At 52.2% G+C, this 22,136-nt stretch overlaps 1 long non-coding RNA gene across 1 annotated transcript in view, besides 1 other annotated feature; it reads left to right on the top strand.

Moving 5' to 3' along the window:
* The first annotated feature begins 2,968 nt into the window (after positions 1-2,968).
* Positions 2,969-22,136, top strand: part of LOC105371908 (uncharacterized) — a 42,983-nt gene continuing 23,815 nt past the window's right edge. Inside the window, exon 1 of the long non-coding RNA XR_935001.2 lies at positions 2,969-3,123. This is a non-coding gene — a long non-coding RNA (uncharacterized LOC105371908). The remainder of the gene's footprint in view (positions 3,124-22,136) is intronic.
* Positions 14,582-15,228: an enhancer, noted in NCBI's record as "OCT4-H3K27ac-H3K4me1 hESC enhancer chr17:75824461-75825107 (GRCh37/hg19 assembly coordinates)". NCBI's record gives its function as "activates a minimal SCP1, AML or CMV promoter by ChIP-STARR-seq in naive H9 embryonic stem cells {active_cell/tissue: H9 hESC(naive)}" and the evidence as "EXISTENCE:reporter gene assay evidence [ECO:0000049][PMID:30033119]".

Genomic DNA, 22,136 nt, shown 5'->3' with positions numbered 1-22,136 from the left:
TTTTTGAGACAGTCTCACTTTGTCACCCAGGCTGGAGTGCAGTGGTGCGATCTCAGCTCACTGCAACCTCCGCCTCCTGGGTTCAAGCAATTCTCGTGCCTCAGCCTCCCAAGTAGCCAGGACTACAGGCATGTGCCACCACAGCTGGCTAATTTTTGTATTTTTTGGTAGAGACGGGGTTTCACCATGTTGGCCAGGCTAGTCTCAAACTCCCAACCTCAAGTGATCTGCCCGCCTTGGCCTCCCAAAGTGCTGGGATTACAAGCATGAGCCACCGTGCCTGGCCCCGAGGGAGAGTTTTAAGCCTCTTTGAGCCTCAATTTTCTCATCTATAAAATGGGGATCATGATAGCGCCTCCTTGGTGGAAGGTGGCCAACCCTCCTGGTTTGCCTGAGATTATCCCAGTTTTTGCAATAGAAGTCTCTTGTCCCAGGAAGCCCCTCAGGCCTGGGCCATCTGGGACAGTTGGTAACCCTACATGGGATTGTCGAGAGGCTGAACCAATAGGGTGCATAGGAAACTCCTAGCACCGGGGACGGCCCAGAGTTCCTGCTCAGCCAATGTCAGCTCTTATTCATTGTAATCCTCTTAGACACATGTGCATGGTAGAGACCTCTGACATGTAAAAATGCAAAGGCAGAAATAAAAATCATCAATAGCCGACCACATGTGGGAAACATTTTGGAAGGTTTTAGTTTTCTTAGGTGATAGAACACTGAATGTGTTAATATAGAGAGGGGGAAGAGGCAGGAACAGCAGTGACTATTTAATGACTCATATTTATTGAATGCTTATTATGTAGCAGCCATGGAAGGGGGAAGTTGGAGGCACAGGATAAAGAGGAGAAAGCTGATGGTGGGAGGGTCCCTTAGAGGCAGGGAGGTGAAAAGGAAGTTGTTGGGGATAATGGCGACACGGACGTTTCCAAGAAGGGAAAGTTTCTTTCGGGTCCTACTTCTTCTCGTGGCCTTTCCATTTCCCTAGAACTTGAAACTCAGCCTCAGCTCCAGCCGACTCACTCACTTGCAGGCAGGGTTGCAGCAGGGGCCTCCTGAAGCCCTGTAGATGCTCTGCCTCTCCTCTCACTGGGCTCAGGCAGGCTGTGCCTCGCCTCTGACATTCCCAGCCAAGGTCTTCAGATCCTGTGGACTCAAATCATCCATTCAACCCTTGCTGAATTCGCCATGGGTCAAGGCCTATACTGCAGCTGCAGGTGCAGTGATGAAGGACCTGGGGGCCCCTTGCAAAGCTCCAGAGCAAATGGACTTGACTGCCAGGAAACTGGAAGCCTGGAGGCTGAACTAGGCTGGGCACTCAGTGCTGGGGAGGCCCCGACACCCTAGGAGGTACACTGGGTGTGGTTATTCCTGGTGGGAGAAGGAGAGCAGGTGCACAGCAGTCCTAAGTGAAAGCAGGAAATGACTACCTGGATCCCTGCTGCAGCCCGCAGAGGCCCGCTGCTCACCTGTGTCTGGCTTTGAGGATACCACATCTAGTTTGCTGGCCAGGGATCAAGGCAGTTCACAGAAAGTAGAGGAAATATCTTTGAGTTGCAAACTCCCAGGATGCAGGGTCTAGGCCTGTCTGGTGTCCCTGTCTCACATTCAGTCACACACAAAGATAGAGAGGCAGAGAAATGCTGGCAGTCAAGAGGCCTGGCTTCTGACACCTGCCATTTACCAGCTATGTGACCTTGAGCAAGTCATGTGTCAGGGTTGGAATAGAGCCTCTTAAAGTGCCGGTCTCCCAAGGAAGGCTATGAAGGTCTGTCCCCCGAGACACAGGGTAAGCAAGTTCCCATACAAGGCCAACTCTGCATTTGAAAGCAGCGAATAAGCTGCTGAGACAACTTCTTGAACCACTCTGTTCTCTATTCTCGACATGTAATTATGGAATATCTTTGATGTGCCTGGAACTTTCCAACAACCCTCTTCTAAGAGGATACAGCAAATCCCTGCCCTCCTGGAGTCCAACTTCTGCCAGATTAGAATTTTTCTTTTTTTTTTTTTCTTGAGATGGAGTCTCACTGTGTCACCCAGGCTGGAGTGCAGTGGTGTGATCTCGACTCACTGCAACCTCCACCTCCTGGGTTCAAGAGATTCTTCCACCTCAGCATCTCGAGTAGCTGGGACTATAGGCATGTGCCACCATGCCCAGCTAATTTTTTTGTATTTTTAGTAGAGATAGAGTTTCACCATATTGGCCAGGCTGGTGTTGAACTCCTGAACTCGAGTGATCTGCCCGCCTTGGCCTCCCAAAGTGTTGGGAATACAGGGGTGAGCCACCGTGCCTGGCCCAGATTAGAATTTTTCTATGTCACTCCAGACTGCAGGGCTTGGAACAATGATTAAAAGCCATAGGGAGATGGATTTGGGTTTGAGGCTAGGAAGAACTTTCTAACCATTCAAGTGACATCAGAATGGAATGAGCTGCCTTGTGAGGGAGTGGTCAGTGTGTCTCTGAAGATGTTCAGGGAGAGTTGGAAGACCTAGCAGATGAGGTGGACAGGGTGGATGCTGGCCCCACGGTCCTACCTGCTGGTGTTCACGGCCTTATGCAGTCCTCTCGCCTTCAGTGCAAGCAGCACCTGTGACTTGCCTTTAACGTTGCAAGAGAATACAGCAAAGTGACGGGATGTCACTCTTGTGATTTCATAAGATTGTGACATCTGTCTTGCTGAGAGACTCTCTTGCTGGCCTTGATGGAGTAAGTGGCCACACTGGGGAGGCCCACAAAGCAAGGAGCTGACAGCAGCCTCTGTCCAATGCATGACATGATGGTGACCTCTGGCCAATAGCCAGCAAGAAAGTGAGGCTTTCCATTTAAGAAGCCACAAGCAACTGAATGCTGCGACCATCCATGGGAGCTGGGAAGCAGATCCTTCCTCGGTTGAGCCTCAGAGAAGCCTGCAGCTCTGATCTTGGCTATAGCTTTTAGATGAGACCCTGAAGCAGAGGGCCCAGCTAAGCCACACCCAGACTCCTGACCCACAGAAACTGTGAGATAACAAATGCGTGTTGTTTTAAGCTGCTGTTTTAAGCTGTTGTTTTAAGTTTGTGATGACTTCGGTTTACAGGAATAACCAGCATGCGATGCCGAGAAGGAGATTCCTGCCTTGGAAGGTCAGACTGGCTCTCCTGTAGAGTCTCTTTACCACCAGGACTTACTTGAGTATCTTTACCTCCTGCATTGCACTTAGTTCAGTTTCTTGCATAACATAGGGACTCGGCGAATATCTGTTAAGTGATATGTGGCGTTAGCACTGGCTTATGCATCGGGGAAACAGGAGGCTGGCCTGTAAGGAGGATGTGTCAGAGCAGCACTGCGGTGGAAGCTGGAAGCCTGGATTCTGGGCTGGCTCCGGCTGCTTCCTCCCGGTGTGACCTTGGGCAAGGCTATCTGCGCTTTGTGTACCTCATCGGTAAAATATAGAACTTACCCACTCACAGGTATGTGCAAGTCAAATGAGCCAGTATGACTGCCTCTTAGGAAGCCCACGGAGGTAAGAAATTGTTATTATTTGTTGTGAAATGTCACAAGCATTCCTGCTGGTTGATTATGAGGCTCAGACACTGGAGAGTTTCCTTTCCAAACAAGGCTCAGACAGTGCTTTTCATTTGAGTCCAAAGTCTCCAGGCAGTGGGCTGGTCTGAAGGTCTTGCTCCTCATACCTGTTCTTCCTGCTTGCTCCTTAGAGAAACCCACGCTGAAAAGATTTCGTTACAGAACCCAGATCTTTGTAGAAGCCAGTGGGTGGCCTCCTCCCCGATGCATAATGTGTGGCTTGTATTTATTTTTAATACGAGTGCTGATTGTATGCCAGACACTGTCTGAGGATTTAGAGATACAGCAATAAGCAAAATAGACCGAGTCCTTGTTCTTGTGAAGCTGATGTTCCAGTGGCAGAGGCAGGTGACAAAGAGGTAGACAATTGTCTACATATCACATGTCAATGCATACCACCAAGAACAACTGAGCTGAGGAGAGAGGAGGGAATGGTGAGTTGATTTTTTAGATCAGCTGTTGGCAAACAACGGTCCCTGGGTCAAATCAGTCCATGGTAGCCAGTGTTTATAAATAAAGTTTTATTGGAATACAGCGCTCTTCCTCCATGCATGTGTGGCCGAGGACTGCCTTGGAGTTGAAGAGTTGCTGCGGAGACTGCCCGGCTTGCAAAGCTGAAAATGTTTACATTCTGGCCCTTTCCAGAAAAAGTTTGCTGATCGCTGTTTAGATGGTGTGGACAGGGAAGACCTCTTGGGGAAGGTGAAGAAGCGAGCCAAACGGTTTCTGGCGGGAGACGGCTCAAGGCACAGGGAACTGCAAGTGTCAAGGCCCTAAAGCAGAATGCGCTGGGTGCCGTGGAGGAAGGCAAGAAGGCCTGTTGGGAGTGAGAGAAGGAAGTTGTGAGGGTTGTGTGCTTCCTCTGATGAGGATGAAGGCCGCTGGGGTTTTCTGAGCCAAAGAGGTTGCTGTGTTGACACTCGATGTGTTCCGACACTGCGGGGGACGGGGGGCTAGGGGAAGCATGGGGAGCTGTTGGGAGGCTACTGGAGTCATCGCATGATGATATTTGGGGAAGGTAAGAAGTGGCTGATTCTGGATAAATTTAGAAGGCAAGAGTGCCGTGATTTGCTGATGAGACAAGAATGCAGGTATCTATGTTTTTAATGCTTTGGAGAGTTTGTTGAATGAATGAATGAGGTGACTTTCCAGAGATCAGGGAGCCGGTCAGTGTCCCAGCAGGGCCCAGCAGCCAGCCCCCTGGCTCCTGTGACCCTCCCCGCCGCATGGCTCTCCTTTTAGGGTCCTCCTTGGCACTAGTTGTGCGCTGACCTATGGACACTGGGAGTCCCAGATCCTTTGGTCACACGTGAGTCCAAACTTCTTGTCTCCTGTAGTCCAGGCCAAGATTTCTTCTTGAGCAGCCATTGCCACAGATTCTTTGGGTTAGCTGGCGGAGGCAGCAGGCACTGCGTTTTCTTACCTACTCTGAATTCACCAGACTCTGACCTCATTATGCTTCTCCAGGCCATGAGACCAGGCTTGCAGGGAGAAAAGTTGGAGCTGAGTCCCAGAAGAGCTGTCGGGGAGGCTTTCACCACCTTTAATCATCTGATACCAACAACAGCCTCCTAATAGGTCATCACTGCATTGCAGTGTTTACACTAATTAGTTAATATCCACAGAATGCTTTGAAGGTGCCAGGCCTGCCAGGAGCACACAGGAGAGCAATTCACAACAGAAGGAGAGACGGCCCGAAATCTTGGAGGCATCGCCCTTCCGATGCATCGGCAGGGGCTACAGGCTCCAACAGGCAGCCTGGTGGGCGGTGTGCCTTGGGAGAGGGAGCTGGCCCTCCAGGGCCTGCCTCAGACACCCACTGCTGGCGGCTGCCATGGTGAGCCCCATTTGTTCTGTGTTCAGGTCATCTGTGTGGAGCCCTTGTGGTGCTGGGGAAAGAGAGTGGATGAGGGAGCTCAGTCTCCAGTCCCCCCAGCTCTCCCACCCACCCTTAGGCCTGGGTTCAGGTTTGAGTGGGGTGGTCCTGGCCAGGCTATGAGCCGCCTGAGGTCGGGGCCAACGACCACCCTGGTGATACCCCCGAAGGCAGGGCACAGGTTACTTTGTGGGGACTCGCCTCCAGTCGCCTCCCTTTGTACCTCCCCTAACAGAGCCTGGTACATGTCAGCGAGCCAGGTTAGATTTCCTCGTGGATGTTTGGAGGGACACCTGGCTCCTTGCAGGGGTTGAGGCTCCTAGAGATGCTTCAAGCCCAGAGAGTCCACCTGTCCCACCAGGTGCAAAAGCCAGGTCTGCTAGACTCCAAACCATCAACCTCTGCCTGTGGCCTGGCCTGCCCATTTGAGGTTAGGGGAAGCTGAGACAGTCACCTTTGATTCCGGAGAAATATGGGAGGAAGTTAAATGGTGGCCTCCCTTGGAGAGGAATAAGAGCCCCCTGTTTGACAAAAGCTGTGGGGATCTTTCGCTCATTTTCTAAAACACAGTTGCATTGAGATATAATTCATATGGCCTAAACTGTGTCCTTCCAAAATTTATGTTGAGGCCCTCATCCCCAGTCCCTCAAAATGTGACTGTATTTGGAAATAGACCTTTAAAGAGGTGATTAAGTTAAAATGAGCCTGTTAGGATGGGCTCCAATCTAACAATTGATGTTCTCCTGAGAGAAGGAGATTTGGACTCATACAGAAACAGCAGAGATGCCCACAGGCAGAGGAAGGACCCTGTGACACCAGGCACCAGGAGAAGGTGGCCATCTGCAACTCAGGGCCAGAGGCCTCAGAAGAAACTGACCCTGTGGGCCGGGCACAGTGGCTCATGCCCATAATCCCAGTCATTTGGGAGGCTGAGGCGGGAGGATCGCTTGAGCCCAGGAATTCAAGACCAGCCTGGGCAATATGGCAAAACCCCATCTCTACAAAAAGTACAAAAATTAGCCAGCTGTGGTGGCACACACCTGTAGTCCCAGCTACTCGGGGGGCTGAGGTGGGAGAATCGCTTGAGCCTGGGAGCAGGAGGCTGCAGTGAGCCATGATCACACCACTGCCAGTGAGACAGAGTGAGACCTCATCTCAAAAAAAAAAACAAAAGAAGAAACCAACCCTGCTGACACCTTCTCTTAGACTTCCAGCCCCCAGAACTGTGAGGAAATAGGTTTCTGTGGTTGAAGGCACCCAGTCTGTTGTATTCTGTTATAGTAGCCCTGGCAAATGAAGTCACCATGTGACTCACCTGTTGTGTTTTTGGCAGGTGGTTCTTGGCATATTCACAGATATGTGCAATCATCACTTAAGTCAACTTTGGAGAATTTCATCACCTTGGAAAAAACCCAAGTCCTTGTGCCTTTTAGCTATCATCCCAGCTACGGTTTGAATGTGACCCCGAAAGCATGTGTTGGACATGTAATCCCCTAATGCTTGTTATTAAGTAAGTGCTGTAAGTCATTTCAAGGGAAAAGTGACAGCAGCAGCAGCAGCAGCAGCAAGACCTTACTGTTACTCAGCAACTGCAGAGATGGGCAGGCGGAGTGGCGGGGGTGGCAGGGTGGGGGTGGGGCGGTTCTGGGACAGTTTTTAAAGGCAGAGTCCTGGGAACTTCTTCTTTGTTTTTTTGTATTTGGGTAAAGACGGTTTCACCATGTTGGCCAGGCTGGTCTCGAACTCCTGACCTCAAGTGATCGGCCTGCCTTGGCCTCCCAAAGTGCTGAGATTATAGGTGTGAGTCACCACGCCCAGCCGAGTCCTGGGAACTTCCGAGTCGGTCTCAAAGGAAAATGGGCAAGGCCAGAGTTGGCTTGGAGGAGAATGTAGGGTCGAGGGTAGACAGGGACAGCTGCCCCCTTTCCCTCCCTGTTCCTGCTGGACATTCCAAATACAGAAACCCTTAAATGCTCCATCCTCCAGCTCTTACCCACAGAGCTTGAAAGACCACCAATTAGTGTGGTGGTCTTTCAAGCTTGCTAAAGGATCATTTCAAAATTTTTTTTAAAAAGTTTTTTTTTTTTTGCTGGGCACGGTGGCTCACCTCTGTAATCCCAGCACTTTGGGAGGCCGAGGTGGGTGGATCTTGAGGTCAGGAGTTCAAGACCAGCCTGGCTAACATAGTGAAACCCTGTCTCTACTAAAAATACAAAAAATTAGCTGGACGTGGTGGCAAGCGCCTGTAATCCTGGCTACTCAGGGGGCTGAGGCAGGAGAATCACTTGAACCCAGGAGGTGGAGGTTGCAGTGAGCTGAGATCACGCCATTGCACTCCAGCCCGGGGGACAGTGAAAGACTCCATCTCAAAAAAAAAAAAATTTTTTTTTTGAGATAGGGTTTCACTCTGTGGCCCAGGCCAGAGTGCAGTGTTGGAGCCATAGCTCACTGCAGCCTCAAACTCCTGGGCTCAAGCAATCCTCCTGCCTCAGCCTCCCAAGTAGCTGAGACTAAAGGTGTGTACCACCATGCCTGGCTAACTTTCTAATTTTGTAGAGGTGGGGTCTTGCTCTGTTGCCCAGGCTGGCCCCTAACTTCTGGGCTGAAGAGATACTCCTACTTCAGCCTCCCAGATTGCTTGAATTACAGGTGTGAGTCAACACACCCAGTGGATAATTTTGATAAAAGGTAAGATCTTGAGTCTCATACAAATATAAAATGAATACGTGCCAGTGATTTCATTTAACTTGTTAATTAAGGAAGATACCAGTGCAATGTTACAACTGGTTCAAAGAACCTCACATACATAGGCAGTAAGGAATGCTGAAGTCAATTCACAAACACGCAACAGGGCAACAGTCAATTGCATTCTGCAGGATACTCCGCTGTATTCAACCACATTCCACTGGATGCAATTCATTTGTGTTGCTATGGATAAGGGCCATTTGCATGATTATGAGTTTCCTACAACTTGCAGAGTGGCAAAATAGCTCAAAGACAATGAAAAATGAAGATAACCTCAAAAGGTGTGCTAGATAGATACCCATTCATCTTTTTTGCCTATTCCAAGGTCTTGCACTATTTTCCCTGACACACTTGTCTTCCTCCAGGCCTCCAGTTAAGGGGGGCAATGAAGAAATGGGGCTAGGGGAGGCAAGGACAGAGGGGGCTCCTGGGGGCATGCAGCCCCTGTAGGAGGAAGGGCTGATTGGGGTAAGGAGCTCAAAGAGGCTCCCCCACTTGGGAATGGGGTTGCTTTGGATGGCAAGAGGGTGGGAGGAGCTGGCAGAAGAGAGGGGTCTGGGACCATCCTTCACCTGCTCCATGGTTTTGCCTCTGGTCAGCCTGGTCCGTTTTGTCCCCCTGCCTTAGAGAGGCCAAGAGTAACTGCTACTTAGTTCTTATCTGTTCTGAGAACCTTCTCCCAGTGGGGTGGTCAGGGCAAGCGTGGGAGGAGCTACGCCAGTCACAGTAGGCTCTGCTGAGGCTGATGAGTCACTCAGCAGCCAGGAGGACTGCCGCAGCCAGCGAGACTTAGGGCAGCTTCCCTTCTGCCAGGGACTGGGGCGAGCGTGAGGAGCCCTGAGCATTTGGCTTTCCTTTCCTGGCATTCCAGAGGCCTAGGTAGGAAAGCCTCGTGGGATCTCAGGGCTGGGAGGGTCCGCAGAGTCATCTCAGAGGCGTGACCACCCTGCAGTATCCTCCAACAGAACCTTGGGGTTTGCATGGAGATTCTGGCCGGGGAAGATGCCTCCTGAGAACAGGGTGCAGCTTTGGAGGTCACCCAGGGAGGGAGGTTGGGAGCGCTGTCTGGACAGATCAGCCCAGTCAGCTCCAGTTATGGTTGAGTGACAGGCAGCAAAAGGTCCTTTGACTTCAGAGTCAGGAGCACTATTGCATCCCTGGGGCATTAGACTGATCCCCAAAGTGCAACAGAAAGCAGAACATGCTAGATCCCAGACTCTATAGGGACCCCTTATTTGTAGTGGGAAGATTTTTTCAATCAGCTGCTGGGGTGGTGGGGGCAGGGGGAATGGGGGACTGGGATTCCCCAGACAGCGAGGTAGGGGAACAACCTAACAGGTGAGCTGCCTTCTGTCGGGGAAGGTCTGATTACCTGCTGAACACGGAGAGGCTGAGGCTGCTACCATTCCCACCACACTCCTTCCCACACAGCTTTCTGCTCTTTCTCCCATGCAGGGCTCAGCCTCCCATCTGAATCGATGTTCAATGAGTATTATCACATGTCAGATCAAAGAGACAGTAATCCATCATTTTACCCATGGGGCCAAATTAAAACCTGCCAGGGAAAACCCCAAAGTCTTAGTCTTGAACTGAGTCCTCTTGTGCTATTCTCCAAAATTAGTTTTCCAGTATTCGAATGCCTCCTGTGATGAGGACCTCAGCAACCTTCCAACAGCAGCTGACGATATCTTGAGGCAGCTATGAGACTGAAAATCCATATTCCTAGAGCTTTCACTCACTCATCTTAGCTTTATCCCTCGTGAATGATGGCATCCCCTCCAGATTCCCATTGAAACTTAATCCTAGTGCAAGAGTATTAAGAGGTGTGTCCTTTGGGAGGTGATTGAATCATGAGGGCCCCACCTTCATGAATGGCATCAGCACTATTATATGGGTCCTGAGATTGAAGGGAGTGCTCTCTTGCCCTTCCACCTTCTGCCATGTGAGGGTGCAGCCCCAAGGTGCCATCTTGGAGAGACAGCAGCCCTCACTAGACACCAACGCAGTGCCTCGATCTTGGACTTGCCAACCTCCGGAACTGTAAGAAGAGTCTAAGGTGTTTTCTTATAGAAGCACAAATGGGCTAAGACGAGGCCCACAGAGTGCATCTATTTCTTTTTTTTTTTTTTTTTTTGAGACAGAGTCTCGCTCTGTTGCCCAGGCTGGAGCGCAGTGGCACCATCTCGGCTCACTGCAAACTCCACCTCCTGGGTTCAAGTGAGTCTCCTGCCTCAGCCTCCTGAGTAGCTGGGATTACAGGCACGTGCCACCACGCCTGGCTGATTTTTGTATTTTTAGCAGAGATGAGGTTTCACCATGCTGGTCAAGCTGGTCTTAAACTCCTAACCTCGTGATCCACCCACCTCAGCCTCCCAAAGTGCTGGGATTACAGGCATGAGCCACCGTGCCTGGCCTCGAGTGCATCTGTTTTCTTTGTAGCAGTGCAGCCCCTAGCATTCTTGAAGAGAGGCTTTTGTTCCTCCTGAGTTTGTCTTCTCCAGTCCTAATAATTTTTCAAGAAGCCTGATTTCAACCTTTACCTTCCTAGTTAGTTCCCTGTGATATGATTTACTCTCTGCTCTCCTGTTCCTCCTTTTACCAAAACTAAATAATAGGCCAGAGCAGTGATCCTCAACCTTTTTGGCACCAGGGATCATTTTCGTGGAAGACAATTTCTCCATGGACTAGGGGCAGGGGATGGTTTCGGGATGATTTAAGCGCATTACTTTGACTGTGCACTTTATTTCTATTATTATTACATTGTAATATACGATGAAATAACTATACAACTCACCATAACGTAGAATCAGAGGGAGCCCTGAGCTTGTTTTCCTGCAACTAGATGGTCCCATCTGGGGGTGATGGGAGACAGTGACAGATCATCAGGCGTTAGATTCTCACAAGGAGCGTGCAACCTAGATCCCTCACATGTGCACAGTTCACAATAGGGATTGTGCTCCTTTGAGAATTGAATGCCGCTGCTGATCTGAAAGGAGGCAGAGCTCGGGGGCAATGGGAGTGATCAGGAGCGGCTGTAAATACAGATGACGTTTCACTCGCTCACCCACAGCTCACTTCCTGCTGAAGCTCCAATGTCCAGTAGTCCCCCGGGGCTGGGGACCCCTGGGCTAGAGGGTGTCAGGCCAGAGTGGAGGAGAGTGAGTTATTCTCATCTCCTTTCTTAAGGAGACAGTACTTTTGGTAATGGAGCCCAGGTGTATTAGTCAGGGTTTTCCAGAGAAACAGAACCAGTAGGATATATACAGATATGTAAGAGAAGACTTATTATGGGAATTGGCTCATACGATTATGGAGGCCAAGAAGTCCCAGGAAATGCTGTCTGCAAGCTGGATGACCAGGAAAGCCTGCGCTGTAACTCAGCCTGGGTCCGAAGACCTGAGAACGAGGCGGGGGCAGGAGGCGGGTGCTGGCATCGGCCCAGGAGAAGCTCCAATGTCCAGTGTCCGAGGGTGGGAGAAGATGGTTGTCCCCGCTCCAGCAGAGAGAAAATGTGCTTTTCCTCTGCCTTTGTGTTCTGTTGGCTCCCAATGGATTGACTGATGCCCATCTACCTTGGTGAGGGCAGATCTTTACTGATTCAAATGCGAATCTCCTGGAAACATTGTCACACACTCTCCCGGAAATAATGTCTGGCATTCCTTAGCCCAGTCAAATTGACACTTAAAGTTTAACCATCACACTGAGACTACATCAGCAGCCCGGGTGCACGGCTGACTCAGAGTGAGCCAATTCCCTTCAACAAAACAAAAACCTGCACAGCCGTCCGTAACCATGGGGAGCACACTGGTTTTCAATCAGAGGCAAACCAGGACTTTTGAAGATAAATCCAGTCCCATTAAGCCGGACATCTGGAAAGAAGCAGGATACATTTGTGTGAAAGAGGACAGAGAAGCAGGTGGCTAGAGCATCGCCACCCCTCCCAACTTATTTTGGATTCCCTCCGAAGCAGACTCTGACTCAAATACTTGAGTTCCAGTAGTTTATTTGGGAGGTGATCCCAGGGGCACAGGCAGGGGCGTGAGAAATGAGCCGGGGAAGGGAAGGACCTTTGCACACAAAAAGTGGGCTGTGAAGCCGGTTACCACTGCAGGTGGCTGGAGCGCAGTCCTGCCAGAACCTTTGGGAGGCAGGTGGAGGCTCATCCCTCAGGACCCAGGGACCTGGGGCATTCATGCACCAAACCCTGCTGGGCTTTGACTGAGGGCTGCTTTGGCTGGGGGCAGGTGTTGCTTCCCTGGCACTTCTGGTCTGCTGCGCTCGTGGCCAGAGAAAGAGGCGCAGGCGCTGGCAGTGGGAGCTCAGTCAGCAAGCCCGGAAATGGAATGGGCTGCGGGCAGTGCCCGCACCTGCACCTTCCCCTTCGGCCCTGTATACAGCCCCGTTGGCCTTTGCCTCACTTCTGCCTTGGATTTCTCTGGAGGTGGTGGGAGGGGTGAACGTCTCCTGTTCTCTCCTCCCAGCATTTCAACTTACTATCGGCCCAGGCGTCAACCCTACCCACCCCTACCTGACCTCCCCAAATAGCAGAGACAGATGCTTGAAGACATCACCTGCCTGGGACAGGGAAGCAGGGAGCCAGGATGTGCCGAGCTGGGCCAGGCTGGGAAGGGACACTGGCCTGGGCACAGCAGGGTGCAGCCATCCACCCACAGGCTGGGGTAGGGGATCAAAAGCCAGTTACCCCCAGGGCCTTCCAAGAAGGGGAGAAGAGGGCCCATCTCCAAGAGTGGCTTCCCCCTCCTCCCAGCACTGTGACTCAGAGGAGGCCGGAAAGGGAAAATAGAACGCCCACAGCTCAGCGGCTTTCACGGTGAGCCTGAGTGGGCTGGTTCTCCAAGGAGAGGGAGGGAGGATAAACTTTAGGACTGACGGAGCCTTGGAGGCTGCAGAGACTCAATGACAACTTTTCAGAATCAGAACCCTAACTTGTGTGTCCAGAGGGGTGGGTGGGGTCCGGAGGTGGTCCTGGGTCATGGCTGTGCACTGGGGCCCTCTCTCCGGGCCCCTCCTGCTCACGCCCAGGTCGACTGGTCCTGCCTCTTTTTTGCTTTGGCTTCAAACTCCAACAAGGCCTGGGCCTTCTGAGCAGGAAGCGGGAAGGCCTTCTTTAGCTAAGGAGGAGAGAGGATTTGCCAGGCACAGCATCGGTGGCCAGGCCAGGCGAGGGCTTAATCAAGAGAATAACAATTCCCCAGGGGTGGGGGAGGCTGTTCCCATTTTAATTTTTTCCTTTTGGCAGAAACTAACTTTTCTGTAAAAACAATGAAAAATCAGGGTGGAGTTTCCTCTGCCCCACCCCCCCGCCACTCAGCACTCCTGGGAGGAAAGGTTTGTTACTGGGGCAGAGGGAGAAGGGACCGGCTCTGGGAGAGGTGCCCTGCTGGGCTGGGCTGAGTGGGTGGGCCGGTGCCCCTCCTGATCAGGACTTCCAGGGATGGAGTCTTCCAGGGTCTGCTGCCTGCTTGTGTCCCCAGCTGTGCTGAGGCCCTGTCAGCCTCACAGATGGCCCCATTGTGGCTTAGACTGCGGCTTTCATTCTGGGAAGGTTACTGTTCCTTCCCAGGGACTGGCCTTCCTGAGCAATGCTCCTGGTGACCATGTGGAGAGACAGGGAGCTGAAGAAACGAGGGCAGCCCCCTCTGTGCTGGGACAGAGGCTTCTGTGAGCAGGCACCTCTTCCCATCCTCCCTGTGTTTGGTACATTTAGGACCCCAAAGCCAAGGTGGTCGACATGTGATGCACAGCCTGAAGCTCTTTGCTGGCCTTATCCCTAGAAGCTGCCTTTGAGCTGCCTTTCCTGGGGACCACAGGCTCTCTCTGAGCTTCCTGAGTGTTCACTTTGTACCTTTGCACGTCTGCACTGAAGCTGGTGCAGTAGCAGACACCTGTGGTCCCAGCTACTCAGAGGCTGAGGCGGGAGGATCACTTGAGGCTAGGAGATCGAGGCTGCAGTGAGCTGTGATCACGCCTGTGAATAGCCACTGCACTGTCCAGCCTGGACAACATAGCAAGACTCTGTCCTGGAACAGGTGAGGGTCAGTGAAGGAAGGCAAATGCACACACGAAAGCATGCACATGCACACACACGTGCATACACGCACATGCATGCATGCACACATGAACACATGCGCACCCCACATGCATATACGTGGACACACATGGGTGCACGCACACCCCCACATGCATATACATGCACACACACAGGCACACATGGATGCACACACACGTACATGCACACACATGCACACATCATACATGCACACACGCACACACACGAATGCATACACACCCCACATGCATATACATGCACACACATGGATGCACACACGCATGGACACACACACACCCCACATGCATGTACGTGCATACACATGGACACACACACACCCACATGCATATGCATGCACACACATGGGCACACATGGATGCACACACGTACATGCACACACATGTACACATCATACATGCACACACGTGCACACACACAAATGCATACACACCCCACATGCATATACGTGCACACACATGGATGCACACACGCATGGACACACACACACCCCACATGCATGTACGTGCATACACATGGACACACACACACCCCCACATGCATATACATGCACACACACGGGCACACATGGATGCACACACACGTACATGCACACACATGTACACATCATACATGCATACACGCACACACACACGAATGCATACACACCCCACATGCATATACATGCACACACATGGATGCACACACGCATGGACACACACACACCCCACACGCATGTACGTGCATACACATGGACACACACACACCCCACATGCATATACATACACACACGGACACGCTCACACACATGCACACACATGAACGCACGCACACCCCACATGCATATACATGCACACACATGGGCACATGCACACACATGCACACAGAAGCCCTCACACACACAGGCACACACGCATACACAAAGCCTCCCTGCCTGTTCCTGTCGTCAGTGGAGCCGAGTGAGAGAGCAGGTGGAGAGGGCAGAGGCCTCCAGAGGCTGAGTGAGGGGCTTGCGGACCCTGAGCTGACTTGGGAGAGGAGGCACCGCCAAGCTCACGGCCACCTCAGAAGCCTCCCACAGACATTGTTCTTTGTTTTCATTACAGGAAGATCTCAATTAAAATAATTACAGTGACAACAAAAAAAATCACAGAAGAGAGACAGAAAAAAGGAGTTCAGTTAAATGCAAATATATTCAGAATGATGTTATGAACTCAGCTCGCCCCTGTAAAATTACCCATTAACCATTACACGCTAATTATCCACCTTTTTATTGTTTTAGAAAGGAAGAGATTCATTCTCCTTCCAGCTGAACAGACATCCAGAAAATGATGCCTGGCTCTTCAGGGTGGACCAAATGCCCCACCTTTTGATTAAATTATAAGGACCCTGGGATTGTTTTGCAGAGCTGAGAGCTTTGCCTTAAAAAACAAACAAACCAACAGAACTGAGTCATGGTTTTCCATTATAGAGATCTTTCACCCTTTTTTTCCCAATAGGGTGATTTGTAGTGGAAGCCCAGGCACCTGTTTGGGGTCTGTCTCCACCTGCAGTGATGCCGGGGCCGGGGAGGGTCTGATGCTTTTTATGAATTGCATCGTTTCCCTCCGCAGTAGTGGTGGATTCAGTTCTCTTCCTCTGCCTGGTGGGCTGCTCTTGGCACCAGCTCCATGCTGAGCCAGGGACGTTCAGTCCTTGTTGCTGCATCAAGGATGGGGGTGGGCACCCTGCAGCCCAGGCCTCAGGTAATGGGCAAGGTAGCAGGTGAGGGGGAAGGCTGGATATCTGGGGTCAGGCAGGACCAACCCTTGTGTCTGTGGAGGAGACTCACTCTGGAGTCCCAGAGCAGTCCTGTTTTCAAAGTCAGCTTCACCTGCAGGATGTGGATTTCCTGCCATTTTGACATTCAGATGGAATCCTTCAAACCCCCTTGTGTATCTAGCAAGAGCCCAGAAATCCTTTGTCAAACCACGTGTTTCAATTTTGGGTGCGGAAGATGTGATCACTCCACTCACGGAGCAGGGTGGGGCGGGAGGCTGTGGAGAGGAGGGGAAAGCTCTGTCTCAGGTGCTGTCTGCATGTCACCCTATGGCTCCCCTTCCCAGCAGTTCTGGGGGTGGGGGCGGTGTCATCCCCTCTGCGGAATAGACAAGCAAACCTCAGGCCTGGGAGGGTGGCTTGTTCAAGGCCAGGCAACTGTAAGTGCTGTTTTCCATCCCAGGTCTGTGAAGCCCCCAAGCTCACGATCCTGCCCTGCTCTGAGAGGCCTCTCAAGGACACTGTTGCATGGTCTGGGAAATTGGGGTGGGTGTGTGGGTGGGTGTCTGAGGCCCTGAAGGTCCCAGGGGCCATCTCTAGCAGATGCCAGCAATGAAGGTTCCCAAGAGTTGGCAGTGAGGTCTCCTTGACGTGGGAAGCGGCGGGGGGTGGGGGTGGGGGTTGCGGATAGAGATGATCACAGACACCCTGGGGGTCTAGGAATTCCTGGCTCGGGGAAGCCAGCCTCTGCTTCCTGAGTGGGGGCAGTGATGGGGAGGGGTGGCAGGGCGGGGGGAGCTACCCTGAGGGAGTGCCCTTCTAATGCTCCTCGGGCACTGACCACTGCTCTGTAGGAGAGACTTTGGGCTGTCAGCCCCAGCCAGAGTCCTGCTGCCTCGGTCTCTCCTCTACTCCTTTGGGGGTCAAGGTCACACCTTGGCCTTTATGCCTGGACTCCCCCAGTCTGCTCTCTGCCGTCAGCAGCCAGGCTTGGTGGAGCTGCCTACCGGTACTCATGTTCCCTGGCACCTGGACATGCCCCTGTCTAGTCCCCCATACCGGCTTATTCTATTTTGTTCTTTGGGGGCCATATGGCCCTACCAGCTCTCCACAGAGGGTTTTCTTACACAGATACACGCCAGGTTCTCCAGTCTCTTGCAGAGGAATGCTGGCCTTTAGGGAGAATTGAGACCATCTTAGAGATGAATGAATGAATGAATGAATGAATGAATGAGTTCACACACATTTGCCAGCATCTCCTACATGCCTGGCACTGTGCTAGGCACAGAAGGAGGAAGGTGGAAGTGGCTTGAGCCAGGTGAGCATCTTTGAGGAGCTCAGGGTTGGTGAAAAACTCTCCATGCCAGAGCTACCTTCCAGGTGGCTTTGCTGGTGAAGAGCCAGCAGCAATCTAGTGGAGAGGTGTGTATTGTCCAGGGAAGTCATTTCCTCAGACTTCTCTAAGGCACAGCCAGGAGGTAGGAGACTGGACTGTTCCATCCCAAGTGCCAGCAGGTCATCCATTGAACACAGCCACCCACATGCACACAAAGTCCACAGAGCGGGCAAGCTGACAAAGAACGCCTCTGTTCCCCAAAAAGTAAAGTCACCCAGGTCGGTAAAATACCTAGCTTGGGATTAATGTCCAATCAACACATGCAAAGTAACTAAGGCAGGGCCCCGGAGACTAGGAACTCATAGGCAGGGTGGGCCTCTTGCAGGGAGCTCCTGAGACGACACGAGGGAGGGAGGACCAAGCGCTCGCGTAGGTGCAGCCTGCAGTGTCTCGGGAGGAGCAGAGAGGAACGCGCAGGCTGGGCGTGCTGGTGTGCGTGCAGGGAACCAAGGGCTCTGCACTTCATTGAAGAGCAACTAAGCGAGTTCAAATCATGGTTTTTGAAAGCCTTCCCTTCTTCCTGGGCTGAGCGGATCCTGGCCTGGTCCTTGACCTCATCATGCTGTTGGTTCTGCACACACCAGAAGCAGCTAGGAAGGAGGGGAACACTGCAGAGCCATTGCAGGCACCTTTTGTTCTAATTTGAGTGGTGGGAGGATTTCCTTGCTATGCTCCACTGTCCGCTGATTCCTAAAGGTGAAACAAGTCGTGTAAGAGAACGAGTCCTTCCCACCCTCAGGGAACGAGGTAGACATGGTTGAATAGATGCTGCCAGTCTGAGATCAGACGGGCATCCCTAACCCACAGCAGGGACTCAGGTGTGGGGGAGCCCTGCCCCTTCTTCCCACCTCTTTTGCCTCTGGGATGTCCCTGGAGGATGTGCATTCAGTGGGGAGCTGGAGGGAGCCTGGAATTTCAGGCATTGCCGTTTTCCGTGTGACACAGCATATTCCATACATTTCTAGCTGTAACTTGGGTCTCGCTTGCTTGGGAAAATGTATCTTCGCTCTGCTGTGCCTAGCATGGCCAGGTGAGTTATGGGGAGGAGGGGCAGCTGGACAAGGTGGTCTTCACCCTGGAGGGCACCAGGCAGGCTCATGGGCCTGGTAAAGGGCGGCCCTGCACGCAACACATTTTACTGAGTCTCGCAGGGGCCATAGGCCGTGGAGGCTGCAGGAGGACCCTGGCCAGGAAGCCAGGGAGTCTGGGCCTTAAGAGCCCATATCAGCTCCCTTCCTGGGCTACGTGCTTTTCACATGGACTTCAGTGAATCCTCATAAGAGAGATGAAACAGCCTCAGAGAGGTTCAGTAATTTGCCTAAGGCCACACAGCTAGTATTCTGCAGTGCTGGAGTTGGAACTCAGGCAGTTTGGCTCAATAGCACTTGACACCTGCCAACCTCCTCAATGCTCCCTGGGCCCCTCCTCCTCAATGTGACTCAATCTGCCCCATTTCCACCCTCCAGACCAAGCCTTCCTCTGTCCCCCATTTGGTTCAAGCCATCTCTAAACTTTGTCTCCCGAGGCTGAGAACTGGCAGGGCCTTCTCCTCATTCCTGGCCCTGGCCCTCCATCCCCCAAGACCCAGGCCTGCTGATCCTCTCTTCCTGCTCCTTTTGCCTGACACTGGCGCCGGTTCAGGCTTCTTTGCCTCTTGCCTCCTGGCTGGTCTTCTGCCCTTCCTTCCTGCCCTCTGTCCTGCCTGCCTTTGTCAAATGCCAGTCCGATGGGGATTCTTCCCACTGCACAAAGGCCAAACACCGGACTCTGCAGGGCGCACTCAGCTTCCAACCTGACGATTCTGTCTCTCCCCCTTGGTGTTTTCCACCGGGACGCTGCTCAACAACCTGTTGTTCTCATAATGTACTTTGTTGTTGCATGACTCCATTCCTTACTCGTGCTTCCTCTGCCCAGAGCACCCTCCCTTACCCTTTGTCTGCTTGGCAAACTCCTATTCATACGTCAAAACCCAGCCTCCAAGTTACCCTCCTCCATTCTCTCTCCTCCCTTGAGCTACTTCTTACTACCTAGAACATATTCTATCTTTGTCCTTGTCACTTATTGTTAATCTGCTCACCAGTGTCCACTCCCCTTTGGACTCTGAGCCCCCCACAGAGGCAGAAAGTGGTGTCGGAAGCATCTCTGCTTTCCTAGTGTCTAGCAGGGCCTGGCCCTCAGGGCCACTGGTTGAGTGGAATCGAGCAACCTCAATCCTTCCCCACTCCTGCTGTCCCTTCGTCCCTCAAGGAGGCTCCTACTCGTCTGTCAATTTGCAGACATCTGGAGTCCACCTGCGGTTTATTACAGGGCTTGGGTCTCTCCTGCCATCTCCCGCTAGATGACCATCTCTCTTGTGGCCTGAGTCCTCTGGCCACTTCTCCACTCAAATATTTGGTCATGGGTGAGGTCAAAAACCAAGATGCAATTTTTGCTCTGTAGAAGGGACGTGTTCTAACCAAGTTGGCTGAAAAGTGATTTTCTGCAAAGTAGAATAATTGGACGAGTGTTCCCACGGCAACAGTGCCTTTTCTGGAAACCGTTTGGGGTGAGGCAGGGCCTGGCAGAAATTGTGATGCCACCTGCCTAACAGGCCACACTGCCTCCATGCCCTTTCCTGGCTCCGGGGCACCCTTTACGGCCCTCCCCTTGCTTCCTTAGGCCCCAGAGATCATTTCCATGCAATGCTGGAAGAGGTCCTGAGTGCACATACAGTTCCCAGAATCTGTCCTCTGCCCCCTCCACTAACAGAAAATAGGATTTTTTTTGAGACAGACTCTCCCTCTGTTGCACAGTCTGGAGTGCAGTGGCGTCATCTCGGCTCACTGCGACCTCAGCCTCCCGAGTTCAAGCAATTCTTATGCCTCAGCCTCCGGAGTAGCTGAGATTACAGGTGCCTGCCACCATGCCTGGCTAATTTTTGTATTTTTAGTAGAAACAGGGTTTCACCATGTTGTCCAGGCTGGTCTTGAACTCCTGACCTCCGGTGATCCACCCACCTCAGCCTCCCAAAGGGCTGGGATTACAGGTTTGAGCCACCACAACTGGCCAGAAAATATGATTTTTAATCATAGTATTTTACAGTGCCTGCATTAACAGTGTACAGGGTGCTTTCATAAGGGCTGCCATGGAATTCTCCGAAAACGACCTGGGAAGCTTTATGACATGAAAATGCCCATTTGACAGAGGCGGGAACCGAGGCTTGCAGTGATGAAGGGACTGGGAGCGCAGAGGCCAGAGGTGTGGCAATGCCAGGTGGGTGCGGCCCCAATCTCTCCTGAGCACAGGGCACAGGGCACTCTCCTTACTTTGCTGGGAGGGGTGACCTTCCCTCGACCTCCTTTGTCCAGCTGGGGAATTCTGGTGACCACACCCTCCTGGCAGAGGTGGGAAGAGACAGGCTGCTCCCACGAGTGGGCAGTTCTTGGCTGTTGCTTCTCATCAGCTTCCCTGTGAGATTTCGTCAGCACCTCCTCCCTCTCCACTGCCGGAAGAATCCAGGGCTACCAATAAAAATGACAATTGGGTGAGGAGGGCTCTAGCCCGTGCTTCACTGTTTGTCCTTTGGTCCGGGAAGGGGTCTGAGCAAGAGGCACCGTCTTGCCTGTTCGGAAGGGTCTGAGTGTATGTGTGCAAGGATGTGTGAATACATGCGTGAGGGTGTGTGTGTGAGTGTGAGTGGAGGAGCGGGGGGGCTGGGGTGTCTCCAGAGGGCAGCAGCGCATGGGCCTTGGGGTCTCTGGGATCCCCCTCTCGAGGCCCGCATTTGGTGTGGAGAGAGGAGATTAAGGGGAGGCGTGCGCCTCCAGGGAAGTGGCCGGGCACTTCATTTCCCTCTGACAGCTCATCGGTATTGAGGTCACACCGTTTCTCAGGTCAGGATGGAGATTGGGTCTCACAGCCACACACTCCCATCCCAAGATCTCTTCCCACCTGAGGTCCTAGATTCCCCAGCACAGACACAAACCGTCCATGCTGTGGATGGTTTCATCCAAATTCACGACCCACAGATGAGCATCATAAAATGGCCATTTGACACCACCAAGTTGGGGGCTGTTATTTGTGCAGCAAAAGATAACTGGGGCACATCTGCACCTGTGTCTCTAGGGCAAGGCTTCCCCTGAGCCCCTGGCATGTGCACCTTACTGCCTACTGGATGCCGACTCTTCCCAGAATCCAAAAGCTCACAGAATCTTCCCCAAGTGCATCGGCCCAGAGCATCCAAGGTGAAGCCATTATCTTCTCATCCAAATCTGAAACCACTGGTGACCTGGACAAAATTGGACCAAGTGAGGCCCATGACCACCTGGCAGGAGGGCAGGTGCGGGCGAGATGGGTTTCCAGCTGTCCATGTATGTGCTTGCCCTGTTTTTTGTTTTTTTTTTTTGTTTGTTTGTTTTTGTTTTTTGAGACATGGTCTGGATCTATAGGCTAGGCTGGAATGCAGTGGGGCGATCTCGGCTCACTTCAACCTCCACCTCCTGGGCTGAAATGATCCTCCCACCTCAGCCTCCCAAGTAGCTGGGACTACAGGCGTATGCCACCATGTCTGGCTAATTTTTGTATTTTTTTTGTAGAGACGGGGCTTTGCTATGTTGCCCAGGCTTGTCTCAAACTACCGATCTCAAGTGATCCTCCTGCCTCGGCCTCCCAAAGTGCTGGGATTACAGGCATGAGCCACCATGCCCAGCTGCCCTGACTGTTATGACCAGGAGAGGACATCTGCTGGAGA

This window comes from Homo sapiens, chromosome 17 (genome assembly GCF_000001405.40).
Source record: "Homo sapiens chromosome 17, GRCh38.p14 Primary Assembly".
Classification (NCBI taxonomy): domain Eukaryota; kingdom Metazoa; phylum Chordata; class Mammalia; order Primates; family Hominidae; genus Homo; species Homo sapiens.
Note: the sequence above shows the minus strand (reverse complement) of the source record. Positions and strands in the feature narration are given on the sequence as shown.